General features: G+C 45.0%; 1 protein-coding gene across 13 annotated transcripts in view, besides 1 other annotated feature; it reads right to left on the bottom strand.

Annotated features, from left to right (window-relative positions):
* Nucleotides 3,760-3,924: a silencer, noted in NCBI's record as "fragment chr7:65827447-65827611 (GRCh37/hg19 assembly coordinates)". NCBI's record gives its function as "represses an EF-1alpha promoter that drives an FKBP-Casp9 reporter gene in an ReSE screen in phorbol 12-myristate 13-acetate-treated (for megakaryocytic differentiation) K562 erythroleukemia cells {active_cell/tissue: K562(+PMA)}" and the evidence as "EXISTENCE:reporter gene assay evidence [ECO:0000049][PMID:32094911]".
* TPST1 (tyrosylprotein sulfotransferase 1) overlaps nt 5,941-15,717 on the bottom strand; it is a 161,654-nt gene continuing 151,877 nt past the window's right edge. For 3 of the 13 annotated variants that reach the window (XM_047420959.1, XM_047420958.1, NM_003596.4), the window contains exons 4-6: nt 13,829-13,879; nt 9,513-9,559; nt 5,941-6,489 (exon numbers count right to left, since the gene is read on the bottom strand). In XM_047420959.1, coding sequence (XP_047276915.1) covers nt 9,542-9,559; nt 13,829-13,879 — 69 coding nt within the window. In that variant the 3' untranslated portion in view covers nt 5,941-6,489; nt 9,513-9,541. Of the gene's footprint in view, nt 7,586-9,512; nt 9,560-13,465; nt 13,880-15,717 lie in introns of those variants that run through there. The other 10 variants (XM_047420957.1, XM_005250642.4, XM_047420956.1 and 7 more) reach the window with 6 other exon arrangements.

Here is a 15,717-nt window from a genome sequence, read left to right as displayed (position 1 = left end):
TGGAATGCAGTGGCATGATTACAGCTTGCTGCAGCTTCAAATTCCTGGGCTCAAGCGATCCTCCTGCCTCAGCCTCCTGAGAGGGTGGGACCACAGGCATGCACCACCACACCCAGCTAAGTAAAAAAAAAAAAATTTTCTGGACACAAGGTCTTCCAATATTGACCAGGCTGGTCTTCAACTCCTGATCTAAAGCCATCCTCCTGCCTCCACCTCCCACCTTGAACTCCTCTTTTCCCAGTTTTGAAAATAAAATTTACACTTTAAGAAGGAGGAAGAAATGGGGAAGATAAAAAAGCCAAGAAGCCAACCAGGCTTGCCTGGATAAACACTACATCCCTTACATTGGTTTTACTTCAATAATACAACTAATTAAGGGTTGTTGATTTTTTCAAGTTGCTACTTGGCATGTGAAACAGTTTCTTCCTCAGTAAATTTGAATACCAAGTGTCTATTCTGTGATTGAATGAAGCAAGTATTTTACACATGGGAAACCATTGTTAAATGATTGTATTATAGAAAGGGGTGGATGGGACGGGAGTAAGGGAGGAGCGGATGTCACCATGCCTGTCCCTGTGCTCCCCACCCACCTCCTCTGTTCCTGCTCCCCATGGTGTTTGTCAAGGGGCACAGTGCGCTGAAGGAGGGGTTACCAGGTGGCATATCCAGAAGACATCATTCTCGGCTTCATGGAATCCACTTACTTTGATCTAATTTGTTTACTCATGAAATTCATTCAACGGGCCGGGTGAGGTGGCTCCCAGCACTTTGGGAGGATGAGGCAGGCAGATCACGAGGTCAGGAGTTCAACACCAGCCGGGCCATGATGGTGAAAATCCACCTCTACTAAAAATACAAAAATTAGCTGGGCGTGGTGGCAGGCACCTGTAATCCCAGCTACTAGGGTGGCTAAGGCAGAGAATTGCTTTAACCCGGGAGGTGGAGGTTGCAGTGAGCTGAGATCTCACCACTGCACTACAGCCTGGGTGACAGAGGGAGACGCCATCTCAAAAAACAAAAACAAACAACAAAACAAAAAACAAATTCATTAAACGTTCACATCAGCAGCTTCTGAATGTCTTTTTTTTTTTTTTTTGAGATGGAGTTTAGCTCTTGTTCCCAGGCTGGAGTGCAATGGCGCAATCTCGGCTCACCGCAAGTTCCTGCCTCAGCCTCCCGCGTAGCTGGGATCACAGGCATGTGCCACTACGCCCGGCTAATTTTGTATTTTTAGTAGAGACGGGGTTTCTCCATGTTGATCAGGCTGGTCTTGAACTCCTGACCTCAGGTGATCCGCCCGCCTCGGCCTCCCAAAGTGCTAGGATTACAGGCGTGAGCTACCATGCCCAGCCAGCAGCTTCTGAATATCTAAGCCAATTGTTAAACATAATCATGTTACTGGATTCTTAAAACAAGCTGGAGGCTGGGTGCAGTAGCTCACACCTGTAATCCTAACACTTTGGGAGGCTGAAGCGGGTGGATCACCTGTGGTCACGAGTTTGAGACCAACCTAGCCAACATGGTGAAACCCCATCTTTACTGAAAAAAATACAAAAAAATTAGCTGGGCATGGTGGTGGGCACCTGAATCCCAGCTACTTGGGAGGCTGAGGCAGGAGAATCGCTAGAACCTGGGAGTCGGAGGTTGCAGAAAGCCAAGATTGCACCACTGCACTCCAACCTGGGTGATAGAGGAAGACTTCATCTCAGAAAAAAACAAAAACAAAACAAGCTAGAGACGGGTTTGTTTTAGCTTCATTTTCAAATTGTGAAGACAGGCAGTGAGAGTGAGTGGGTTGTCCAAATTCAGGCAGCAAGCTGGAGACCACACGGTCCCTGGCCCTTTGCAGCCAGAGTGTGTGGGCCAACTGTGTAGTGGTATGCACTCCCACTCTGTCTGCCAGCACTACCATGTACCATGTCTAGCCTCATCACCTGGAGACCTGGGAGTCTTCTTTGGTTTTCTCTGACCTTTGCCACCAGATCTGCTTACTTGCAAGTCCTGTCGGTTGTACACCTCCCAGCCTTTCCCCATCTTCCTCCTTTTTATTTTGGTCATTGTTTCAACCCAGCTAGAATAATATCTGGCCCAGATTATTGCAATAGTTCCTAGTTGGGAGTCCTCTAAACTTTTTTGTTTAAACAATGATGGCCGAACAGGTGGCTCATGCCTGTAATCCAAGCACTCTGGGAGGCTGAGGCAGGAGGACCACTTGAGGCCAAGAGTTCAAGAGCAGCTTGGGCAACAGAGTGAGACCCCACCTCTACAAAAAAAATTTAAAACTTAGCTGGGTGAAGGAAATGTATACAGTGGTCCATTTCCAAGACAAAGTGCCTTAAATCAACTTAGGTCAGTAGACTACAGAAGAAAACAGGATACAGTAGGCTCCTGCTTGGACAGCCAATGCCTGCTTGTCACCCCCCCCCAACCCCCTTAGTTACCCTCACCTGAACCAAAGAAGTTTAGTCTAAGATGAAAGTTTACTAGCTGCAAAATAGCTCGTGTTGCCTGTTCTTATCAGCCTGCCCCAGCTACTTAAGTCATAAGTCAAATACCTGAAGAGCCCCTGAGCTAACTAGGATTGCAATGCATTGTGGGCTGCAACAAAACGCAGCAGGACAACCCTAAAGAAAACACCCGAAGCCCCTACCCAACGACCAATAGGCAATGTCCGGGAAGATTGTGACCCCATAATACACAGCCCATGAGGAACTGGGGGAGGCACCTGTGCACTAGGGGATAAATTGCTTGTTGAAACTGTGCTGGGTGTGCCTGCTGCCAGACACCCAATATTACAAGAGCATCATTAAAAGTCTCACTTTCGCTGTTCTCCAGGTCTCTGAGTCCATTCTTTGGGTTTGGAGGGGTGAGTTTGTTTCTCATAATGGGGAATAAAAATCAAACATTGCCTTGGGGGCAAATATTGGTATCTAGGTAGGTTATAGCTGAAGATGTTCTGTCATTCTGATATGCTCTAGAGTGTTATATGACCTTGTCCCCACAAAGTTAGTGACATAATACTAACACAGGAGACAAGGGAAAAAAGAGGTTATGCTGGAGCTGATTTAATTGCTACTCGGAAGTTGCAGCAGTTGAGTTAGACTTCATGAGGAAATAGGACTTAAGATAGCTGAGCTCTTAATGAGGTTGTGATTTCCCAGGTAGGGGGACTGGGTGTACGAGCATCTGGAAGAAGAAAGTGAAGAGAATGAAACAAGGGAGGAGAAAGGCACCGTATATCAGGGAGCAGTAAGGCCACATTGTGGCAGCAGAATAGCTTAGACATTTATTATTAATTTTTTTAGATGGAGTCTCACTCTGTCACCAAGGCTGGAGTGCAATGGTGCTATCTTGGCTCACCACAACCTCCGCCTCCCAGGTTCAAGTGATTCTCCTGCCTCAGCCTCCCGAGTAGCTGGGATTACATGTGTGTGCCACCACACCTGGCTAATTTTTGTATTTTTATTGGAGATGGAGTTTCACCATGTTGGCCAGGCTGGTCTCCAACCCCTGATATCAGGTGATCCACCCTTCTTGGCCTCCCAAAGTGCTGGGATTACAGGTGTGAGCCACCATGCCTGGCCAGCTTAGACATTTAGATGTAATGTTAGGCATTGGAGAATTAAAGGTTTTGGAGCAAATGAGTGACTTAAAACAGTGTTAAACACAAGATTGATCTGACAGCAGTATTTTTAATTTTTTTTTTTTTTTTTTGAGAGATTCTCCCTCGTCGCCCAGGCTGGAGTGCAGTAGCATGATCTTGGCTCACTGCAACCTCCGCCACCCAGGTTCAAGCAATTCTCCTGCCTCAACCTCCCGAGTAACTGGGATTACAGGTGCACACCATGCCTGGCTAATTAAAAAAATTTTTTTTGTAGAGACAGGGTCTCCTTATGTTGCCCAGGCTGGACATATTCATTTTAAATGGAAAGGGACAGGGCTAGGGAAGTGGACTGCAGAGGACATTAGAGTCAGGCTTGTGCCTGGGCCCAGCTACATGCCAAGTCACCTGTGGCACTAGGTGGGGGGCCTTGTGTAAGTGACCTGACCTAGTTGAGCCTGTTTCCTGATCTGTAAAACAGTATGTATGTCAGAAGGCTCTTTGGAGGATTAGTAATTCACCAAGTATTTTACTTGGTTTCTTTTCTTTTCTTTTCTTTTTTTTAGACGGAGTCTCGCTCTATCACCCAGGCTGGAGTGCAGTGGTGTGATCTCGGCTCACTGCAACCTCCGCCTCCCAGGTTCATGCCATTCTCCTGCCTCAGCCTCCCAAGTAGCTGGGACTACAGGCACCCGCCACCACACCCAGCTGATTTTTTGTATTTTTAGTAGAGACAGGGTTTCACCGTGGTAGCCAGGATGGTCTCCATCTCCTGACCTTGTGGTCCGCCCACCTCGGCCTCCCAAAGTGCTGGGATTACAGGCATTAGCCACTGCGACCGGCCTTACTTGGTTTCTAGAAAGTGCCAGTTTGCTAGGTGCCAAAAGTACAACAGACAAGAAAAAACATAGTCTTGGAACTCCAGGAACTTATTGGCTGGTGGAGGAGACAGATAATAAAAAAGGCAACAAACAGATGAAACACTGCAAAGTGTGACCATGAAGAAGGCAAGCAGCGGGAGAATTACCTTTTAGTTTAAGAGGCCAGGGAAAATCCCTCTGAGTAAGTGAGGCTTACCGAGACCACAGAATTGAGAAGGAGCCTATCAGACAAAGAACAAAGGGGGCTGGGTGTGGTGGCTCACGCCTGTAATCCCAGCACTTTGGGAGGCTGAGGAGGGAGGATCATTTGAGATTGGGAGTTTAAGACCAGCCTGGTGAACATGGTGAAACCCTGTCTCTACTAAAAATACAAAAATTAGCCGGGCGTGGTGGCACATGCCTGTAATTTCAGCTACTCGGGAGGCTAAGGCAGGAAAATTGCTTGAACCTGGGAGGCGGAGGTTGCAGTGAGCCGAGATTGTGCTACTGCAGGCCAGCTGGGTGACAGAGCAAAACTTCATCTTAAATAGCCAAAGGGAAGAACATTCCAGAGAGAGGAGATATGTAGAGACAGGAAGAACTTGCTATGTTCTGAAAATAAAGATACTTCTAGAGCACAAGCGGTGAGGTTGGGAGAGAGGCCTGCGATGAGATGGAGAGGAGGACCCTGCCGGCCCTGACAGGAGTCTGGACTCTTTTAAGTGAAATGGAAGCCACTGAAATGTTTCAGGCGGGGAGGCTCCTGTCCAGATGTGCATTCTAAAAACTCTTATTCTGCTGTGATCCAAAAAATACGTTGAAGGTAGGATCAAAGATCTTGGATGCGAATGGAAAGAGGGAGGAAAAGGGTGAAATCAAGTGTGACTCTTCAGTTTCTGGCTCAAGTGACAGTAGAAAATACTGCAGTTACTGATATGGATATGACCTAAATGGATAGGTACAAGTTTTGGGGCAGAGATGGGATAACATGTTATATACCCTTTTCATGGCTGGCACATATGTGAACACACTCAATATGGGAATTATTACTACTATCTGGACATCCTGGGTTTCATAACAAAGGCTTCTAGAAAACAAGTGGAAATAGTAACTTCCATGTCCTTAAATACAGTCTGCAAGCATGAAATAGAACAGGATTCTCAAAGTGGATGGCAATAGGTTCTCTCTTGAAATAAAAAGAAAACTTCACTACAAAATGATAATGCAGGCCAAGCACCGTGGCTCACACCTGTAATTTTAGTACTTTGGGAGGCTGAGGCAGAAGGATCGTTTGAGCCCAGGCTGGGGAATGTAGCGAGACCCTGCCTCTACCCACCACCCCCCTCCAAAAAAAGGTGATGGCTCCAGGGGAGTATCTACAATACAGCCAACCAAGGAAACTTTGGTTTATCACATCAGCATCTGATAAGGTCTGTGCTTCTCTGAAATCACATTAATGAAAACATGTAACTACCAGAATGCTTCACATTGAAAGCTTTTATTTTGAAAAATAAAATACAAAAGTCATTAGGTTGTAAATGTATAATGGTAATTTCCCAACTTCTCAGAAACAATACAATGAATTAAATAATTAGGATATTTAATATTATTCACATCAATACACTTAAACAGGCACACGTGTTCTACAAAACATTAGAACATGTACAGACAACCTATTTCAAAAGGAGACTGCCCAAGTCTGCTTACAGGATCCCATTTTTAAACCCTCTCCTTGAAAACAAACGTCATAATGTAAGAAAAGAGAACAAGAGGAGTTTTAACAGGAAACACATGTTCCTTCTGGGCTCCTTACTGCAGGGCTGTGCATGAAATCGGGATCAAGAGCTCTTTGCTCAGGAGGCAGATCCCTCACGAGGCCCAAAGCTGTGCGGACACCTCCATCCTCTCAGTGGGAGGAAACTGGCAAATGCACAGGCGGCGCAGCCAAGGTGCAGACGCTCCACCAAGCTTGGCAGGGGACAGCCAATCCTAGGAATTTCCCTTCTGCTGAAAAGGCAGCAATCTTTCCTAGGGCGAACAAACAGAATGTGGTTACAGGTGTGGAGTCCCGGTGTGTTCTCCCTGTGTCTTCGTCTCTTCCTTCCCAGCTACAGGCCTAGACAAGCCAGGCGGTTGGGGAGGTTCCTGCAGATCAGGGGCCAGGAGGATGGATGTTGAGAACAGCTGCCTCAGGAAGACTGCCTGGGAGGCACACACACCCTCACTCTGGTGCTTTCAGATGCATGCAAGTAGCTGCTGGGTGCAAAGCAAGCAGATGGCCAAAACCAGGGCTGCTCCTGCCCATTTCTAAATAACTGACTGTCATCTGCTATTGTTGCTACTGTGGGGGCACTGTCAGGGGCACCAGATGTCCAGGGGTCAGCACCATGATTCCTCGTGTGAAGAAATGGGTCCTAAGGTTCTTAAAGTGTCCAGGGGTCAAGACCCTGATTCCTCCTTATGTGAAGAAATGGGTCCTAAGGTTCTTCAAGTGTCCAGGGGGCAGCACCCTGATTCCTCCTCATGTGAAGAAATGGGTCCTAAGGTTCTTTAAGTGTCCAGGGGGCAGCACCCTGATTCCTCATGTGAAGAAATGGGTCCTAAGGTTCTTTAAGTGTCCAGGGGGCAGCACCCTGATTCCTCCTCATGTGAAGAAATGGGTCCTAAGGTTAAGTGTCCAGGGGTCAAGACCCTGATTCCTCCTCATGTGAAGAAATGGGTCCTAAGGTTCTTTAAGTGTCCCAGGGGTCAGCACCCTGATTCCTCCTCATGTGAAGAAATGGGTCCTAAGGTTCTTTAAGTGTCCAGGGGTCAGCACCCTGATTCCTCCTCACGTGAAGAAATGGATCCTAAGGTTCTTTAAAGGAAGCTCCAGAGAACACAGATACTGTTATTGAAATGCCAAAGGGACCCAAAAGATAAGAAAGATAGTATCCATCCTAAGGGCTTTGCTGTGTCCCCAGTTCTCCTGAGTCCTCCTCAGCACAGGTTGGCCCCTCCCAACCTCCACACACAAGCCAGGGTGAAATGCTGCAGAGGCAACTGCTGATGCGGTCCATCCTACAACACGCTGGTAAAGAAATGAGGCCTTGTGTGTGTTTGGTGGGGCGGGCAGGGAGATTACCTATGAAGTTTGAAAGCATTTTGTATAAACAAAATTAGCCAAGGCCTGATAACTGCTGTTAAATATGCAGACCCACAGGGCATAAGACTAACATTCAGCATTTGCTCCTCAGCAAAAAGGAAACCTGAATCCTAGAACCTGTCAATATTAGCAGCTTGCTGCCATCTGGGATTTTGACATGACGGACCAGCGTCCATGTGCTTCTTATGTCTATAATCCATCAACGCACCGCAAGTCACATTCAACCTGTTTTCTCACTAGCAAAACAGGAATACTACCAGCTTGCCAGAGTGGTTTGAGAACTGAATACAATTTTATATATAGATGTATATATAATTTAGCGTATCTGTTATATATATATCATCTTATATATATGCAAATAAAATCCTTGGTATTTTATGCCTGGTATGGAGTATGCACAATACATCATTATATAAAGTAAAAATAAAAACATTATATAAAAAAAAAAAACAAAGGTCAGCAAGTAAACTATGAGAAAAAATCACTATCAATATCAGATTTTATTTTTATTTATTTATTTATTTATTTTTGAGACGAAGTCTCGCTCTGTCACCCAGGCTAGAGTGCAGTGCTGCAATCTCGGCTCACTGCAACCTCTCTGCCTCCTGGCTTCAAGCAATTCTCTTCCTTCAGCCTCCCGAGTAGCTGGGACTATAAGTGCCCACCACCACGCCCAGCCAATTTTTTTTTTTTGAGACGAAGTCTCTCTCTTGTCACCCAGGCTGGAGTGCAATGGCACGATTTCGGCTTACTGTAACATCCACCTCTTGGGTTCAAGTGATTCTCCTGCCTCAGCCTCCCAAGTAGCTGGGATTACAGGTCCCTGCCACCACACCCAGCTAATTTTTGTATTTTTAGTAGAGACGAGGTTTCACTATGTTGGCCAGGCTGGTCTCGAACTCCTGACCTTGTGATCTGCCCACCTTGGCCTCCCAAAGTGCTGGGATTACAGGCATGAGCCACCATGCCCAGCCAATATCAGATTTTTTGAAAAGGCTGTTCAAGTTACAACTGATCAAAGGCTTTGCCACATCATTTGGAGCAAAACTGATCTTAAGAAAGTTTGGGTGGATAAGCAGAGACTGAAAGTCTGGGACAAGGGTATGAACTCTGAGCAGCTGCACCTGGAGATCTGGGCTGAGAAACCAGCTTTGCCACTCATGAGCTGGTGTCCCTGGACATGTGCCTGATGAGGGCCACATACTCAGATAGAAAAAGGGCTGAGAAGGCAAGGCTGGCCTTGTCTACAATGTAGCACTTAGTCCAATGAGACAATATAGGTTACTCACATAAGCCATCCATAATACATTAAAACAAGCAAGGGCAAACTTGAAAAACCAACCAAGAAACAAACAAACAAACAAAAATTGCAGTAGGGCAAAAACATCTGCAAGTCCAGCACACGAAGAAAGCCACTGGAGGTGGGGATGGGTGGCTGGGGCCCTGGCTGAACAGGTAACCAGAAGTAAACAGCCACTCTTGAGTTCTGGGTTTCCTTGCCTATGGACTATGGTCCTGACAAACGACCTGCTCCCTCTGGGACCAGCTTCCTTATCAGTAAACAGGGAGTTGGGCTTGATGGCCTCCAGGTCCCTTTCAGCTGAAATATTTCATGGTTCATAATGAAAATAACAATACTATTGTGCGCTTATTATGAGCCAGGCTCTTGGATGATGATTAATTCTCACCACCATGCTCTTGTTAATATTATCCTCATTTCATAGATGAATAAATGAAGACACAGAGAGGTGAAGTAATGTGCTTGCTTCCACACAGAAAGTGAAGAGGCAGGATTCCAACCCTGGCAGACGGACTCCAGAGCTGTGCTCTCCACCTTGGCCACCCAGCCCCCTGCAAGAGCCCGAGTGGGAAACAGAAAGACCTGGCAATGTCCCCCAACCCTCACCTCATGTATGGAAGAGGCTCCTGGTTCTGCTACTCCACTTGCTCAGTCTGTTGAAGGAAAGAAAAGATGTTTTAATGTCCTTGAAGTTGGTCAGCATGAGAAGTGACCGTCCCCACTGAAACATGAGGGGTGGCCCGCAGGCTCTGTTCACTTTCAGATGAACTCAGTGCACTACTGTGGTATGCTCAAGAATCTGACTGGCCTTTCCCCCTGGTTCCTGGGAGGGAAATGCCGAATCCTTGGAATTTCCTGGGTAACAAGAGTGTCTTTGTTATTTCTGATGCCCTTGGATCACATCTGGATTTATGTTATGAGATGATTCAGGATGGGGCTGCTCACCACAAAGACCAACCATGGGATCAGGGGCTGGGGCTTGGAGCCCACGTCAACTCTGGGGAGGGGAGGTTGGCTGGAGATTGAGTTCTAACACATGACCAACGATTTGATCAATCTTGCCTGCATAAATAAACCCCAATAAAAATGCTGGGTGTGGAAGTTCAGTGGCACTTCCCGGTTGGTGAACACATGGGTGTGCCGGGAGGGTGACGTGCCCTGCTTTCATAGGGAGGAGGCACAGAAGCTCTGCATTCAGGACCCTCCTGGGCCCACTTCTATCTTATGGCTGGTCCTGATCTGCATCCTTTATAAAACTGTCATTGTTAAGTACTACACTTTACCGAGTTTTATGAACCATTCTAGCTAATTATTCAATCTGAAGGTTCTATGAGTTTCTGCTGATTTTCATTAGAAGTTAAACTGAAGACCTTATGGGCCCTTTTCTACGTGTGTGTGTCTCTGTGTGCACACTTCTGCATGATTGTTTCTTTTTTTAATAGACAAGGTTTCCCTCTGTAACCCAGGCTGTAGTGCAGTGGCACAATCACAGCTGTCTGGGCTTAACAGATCATCCTGCCTCAGCTTCCCAAGTATGCCACCACGCTCAGCCTTTTTTTTTTTTTTTTTTTTTTTGATGGAGTCTTGCTCTGTCACCCAGGTTGGAATGCAGTGGCGCAATCTCGGTTCACTGCAACCTCTGCCTCCTGAGTTCAAGCAATTCTCCTGCCTCAGCCTCAGGAGCAGCTGGGATTATAGGTGTGTGCCACCACACCCAGCTAATTTTTTTTGGTACTTGTTTTTAGAGATGGAGTTTTGCCATGTTTGCCAGGCTGGTCTTGAACTCCTAATCTCAAGTGATCTGCCCGCCTCAGCCTCCCAAAGTGCTGGGATTACAGGTGGGAGCCACCACGCCTGGCCCTGCCCAGCTAATTTTTTGATAGAGATAGGGTCTTGCTATGTTGTCCAGGCTTTTTGCCCAATTTAAAAAAAAATTCCCTTACGATGATGATCTATATTCCACAGATGAGTTTTTTGTTTGTTTGTTTTTTGTTTTTTTTTTTGAGAGGGAGTCTCGCAATCTTTCCCAGGCTGGAGTGCAGTGGCACGTTCTCAGCTCACTTCAACCTCTGCCTCCTGAGTTCAAGCGATTGTCCTGCCTCACCCTCCCAAGTAGCTGGGATTACAGGTGCCCAACACGCCCAGCTAATTTTTTTTTTTGTATTTTTAGTAGAGATGGGGTTTCACTATGTTGGCCAGGCTGGTCTAAAACTCCTGCCCTCGTGATCCAGCCGCCTTGGCCTCCCAAAGTGCTGGGATTACAGGTGTGAGTCACTGCACTCGGCTCCAGATAAGTCCTTTGTTTCAAATATATTCTCCTACTTAGGCTCACTATTTTACTCTCATGATTTTTATTACATAAACATCCTCAATTATAATGTAGTTCATATTATCTACCTTTAAATTAATAATCAGTACTTTTTAGGGCTTAAGAAATCCTGTCCTCTTATGGTCATAAAGATGGTTCCTCTATTATCTTCTTCGTTTTTATGAGACAGGATTGACTGCCCAGGCTGCAGTGCAGTGGTGTGATCTCGGCTCATTGCAGCTTCAACCTCTGGGGCTCAGGTGATCCTCCCACCTCAGCCTCCCAAGTAGCTGGGACTACAGGCATGCACCACACCCAGCTAATTTTTTGTATTTTTAGTAGAGATGAGGTTTGGCTATGTTTCCCAGGCTGGTTTTGAATGCCTGGACTCAAGCAATCTGCCTGCCTCCCAAAGTGCTGGGATTACAAGCGTGAGCCTCATGCCTGGCTCTTCTATATCCTCTAACAACTTTCATTATTTTGCCTTTCACATTTAGGTGTGCAATCCATTTGGAAATATTTTTAGGTATGTTGTGAAGCAGGAGTGTCCCTTTAGTTTTAGTCTCAAATACCTTTTCTTGACTTCTTCAGATTTGTTATGCAAACCGGCTTTTGGAATTTTTTTTTTTTTTTTTTTTTTTTTTTTTGAGACAGACTCTCGCTCTGTCACCCAGGCTGGGATTACAGGCGCACACCACCAAGTCTTGCTAATTATTTTATATTTTTAGTAGAGACGGGGTGTCACTGTGTTGGCTAAACAGATCTTGAACTCCTGACCTCAGGCAATCCACCCACCTGGGCCTCCCAAAGTGCTGGGATTACAGGCGTGAACCACCGCACCTGGGCGCTTTTGGATTTTATATTCCTTCAAGACAGCCTCTTGGAATATTCTCTGGCTCCAATTTCCACAGCCGGTGTCAGTCTGTTCATGAATCTGCCCAGGTTTCTGGGACATCATGCCCAGCCTGGGCCCAGAGCTCTGTGTCCCCTTGTCTGCACGAGGTGGTCGGATTCTTCTGGATAAATCAGGAGCTCCTTGAGGTCTTTCTTTCCCCCGTGACTCCTGAGGACTTACTCTAATTCCTCACCATAGTAGACACTGGGTAAACAATTGGTGAATAAGTGAATGAATGGATGAATAGTAAATATATGTGAATAAGAATATGCCTTGAAAGTACTTTGAAACACTCAAGTCATATGTATCAATTACTGGCGGCTAAGTGTTTTCAGAAAAGGGTCAGGAAGGAAGAGGCTTCAACTCTGGTGTGAGACATGGCTTCCCTCAGAGAGGGCAGCCCATTTACTCCAGGCTTGCATCAGGCAACTGGACTTCACACAAGTCTCTGAGGTGCTGTTGCTTCACCAACCTCTATCTGGAACGCTTTCAGAAACTGAGTTCAAAACTGAGTCTCCTCTTCCTATTGACAAGCTAATCACTGACAGCAGCAGCCTGGAGGCAACATGCATCATCGCCTTGCTGGAAAGGGAAGTCGGCTGCACTCAGGCCATGAGTGTCCATTTTTTCTGACTTCCATATGGGCATGACAGTGATGCCCAGAGGCAGGATGCCGGGCTCCTCTAGGCATGTCAGCCGTGAGACTCCCTGTTTCTTTCCAACCCAGGAAACAGGATTGGAATGCAAGTCAGTGAGAGAAGACGTTACAGGGAAAACTCTGAATCTGCTTAATTTTTTTTATTTTTGAGACAGGGTCTCACTCTGTCACCCAGGCTGGAGTGCAGTGGCACAATCTAAACTCATGGCAACCTCCACCTCATGGGCTCAAGCGATCCTCCTGCCTCAGCCTCCCAAGTAGCTGGGACCAGAGGCCTCGCCACCATGCCTAGCTAATTTTTTCTTTTTTTGAGGCAGTCTTGTTCTGTCACACAGGCTGTAGTGCAGTGGTGTAATCTTGGCTCAGCAACCTCCACCTCCCGGTTCATGTGATTCTCCCTCAGCCTCCCAAGTAGCTGGGATTACAGGCAAATTCTGCAATACTCGGCTAATTTTTATATTTTCAGTAGAGATGAGGTTTCACCATGTTGGCCATGCTGGTCTTGAACTCCCGACTTCAAGTGATCTGCCAACCTCGGTCTCACAAATTGCTGGGATTACAGGCATGAGCCACCATGCTGGCTTTAATCCTTCAAACTCTCACTGTCCTTCCCAGGGGCCAGTGACTATGTGTATATATAAGTCATCTGGGCTCCAAATGAGAAAAGTCAAAGGGGCAAGGATGTACAGTACACAGAGTAGGAACAGAGAGGGTCGCTGAACATTTTTATTTCAAATTAGGCACTGGAACGCTGGAGCAGCTTTACCCACTGGGCGGCTTGTGCAGGACCTCAAGCAATCAGAATTTGGTTATCAATAAAGTATTTCCCTGGTTTTGGGAGACACTGAGCTCTCTGAAATTAAGACTGTGTTAAATTATTGTTAAAATCAACAAGTCCCAGACGCTGATCTTTCTTCCCCAGCACATATCACTATCCCTTTTCTTCTTTTCTTTTTGGTTTTCTTGTTTCTGTCTTTTTAATTTCATTATCTCTTTAAAAATATTACTTCAATGCAAGAGCCAATCTAGTATACATCAGGAGGAAAAAGCAGACACAGTACCTGTGGTTTTTCTTTAAGAAAGTCAGGTAGTTGGAATTCTCCCTTATAGACCTGGAAAAACAAAGCAGGCGTGAGTTTAAGGCAACAGGTCCAGTCCCCATCATTGCAGGACATGTGCCATGCCTGACCGTGGCCGGGTTTACTGCTCCACTGCTGGTGAGTTTAGAATGAGAAAGAAGCCTGTCAGTTCAAGAGCAGCCAGTGGGCAGCACTGAGGGAAATCCCCATTCACTGTAATTCCCTCCTGCTCTGTGTTTACCGAGTGCTCACAAATGTGGGCTGGCTAGGAGAGGGCTCAGGGTACCCTAAAAACAAAAGCACCCTGACTGCCAAATCCCAATCACTTTAGCTGAGAGAGGAAGCAAGCCCTAGGCAATCTCTCTCAAGCAACCAACACAGAACTCACGCAGTTTAGGAACAAGCTCTTCCTGGTTCCTTTTGAATTCTCCAAGGATACAACCCTGGATTTAATCCAACTTTACTTTTCTCAATTTACCCAGAATTCTCATGGTGATTTGAATTTGAATATTAAGTGATTCTTAAAATGATATAAACCGTAAATCTCATAAAATCTTATAATTAAAAACCTATGCTTTAATATATAAAAATGTTTCTAATACATGCAATAATTAGGAATCTTTATGATAAATTTGTGATAAATACCATTTATTACATTTAAAAGCCCACTGAATATGTAAGAGTAAATCAATAAAAGATATATAAAACCTTAACACAGAAAACTATAAAACACTATTGAGAGAAATTAAAGACCCACATAAACAGACATACCACTTTCAGGGACAGGAAGATTTAATATAATAAAGATAGCCATTCTCCTCAAAGAATTCCCAATCAAAATTCTAGCATGCTTTTTTTTTTTTTTTGGAGGGGAGGGAGTAATTTCAACTTGATTGTAAAAGTTATATGGAAATACACAGGGCCAAGAATAGTCAAGGTAGTTTTAAAAGAATAACAAAGTAGAAGAACTTATTCTACCAGATATCGATACATTACTATTATACAGCTACAATTATCTACATTACATAGCTCTAAACATTAGCTAAGTTAATGATATAGCCATAAGTAAGACAGTAGGGTTTTGGCACAAGGATAGATAAATATATCGATGAAACAGAATGACAGGTCCAGAAACAGCCCCTCAGATGCAGATGCCTGGTTTACGGCAAGGTGGCATTGCAGAACAGTGCAATGAGAAAGAATAAATTAAAAAACGTGATCTACGCATATAATGATACACTATACAGTAACAAAAAAATGAACTCTGCTACATTAGCAACAACACAGATGAATCTCAACATAATGATGAGGAGGTGGGGAGCCAGATTCCAAAGAATAATATACTACATCTTCATTTAAAAAATTTAAAGCTACTAAGTAGGTAAAACAAATCAATGATCTTAGAAATCAGGATACTGTTTGCCCTGGGTAGGAAGGAGGTGGTAGTGATTGAGAGAGAGAAGCTGAGAGAGGCTTCCAGGGTGCTGGTAATTTTCTGTCTTGATATCAGTAGTGATTATGAGCATGTGTTCATTTTGTGAACACATCAGTTATTGATAAATGATTGGTATACTGTATGTGTGATATACTACAACAAAATTCAATAAATGAATTAAGTCAGTGGTTTAATGTTAAAAATTTACTGTTACACATATATCATTTAAGTACAAAGATGTTTATTTCAACACTTTGCAACAGCAAAAAAAAACTTGGGAACAAGTAATGTCAATGAAGAGTGGAAAAGCAATCCACTAGGAAGAAGTTTGATAACCACCGGAATCGCGATTGTAACAAGAAACTAAGGAAAGTTATTGGAAGGACAGTTACTGGATAGTCCTTCAGAGCACAGAAAATCTCAATGCTGAATCCCA

The sequence above is a fragment of the Homo sapiens genome, chromosome 7, assembly GCF_000001405.40.
Source record: "Homo sapiens chromosome 7, GRCh38.p14 Primary Assembly".
In the NCBI taxonomy this organism is placed as follows: domain Eukaryota; kingdom Metazoa; phylum Chordata; class Mammalia; order Primates; family Hominidae; genus Homo; species Homo sapiens.
Note: the sequence above shows the minus strand (reverse complement) of the source record. Positions and strands in the feature narration are given on the sequence as shown.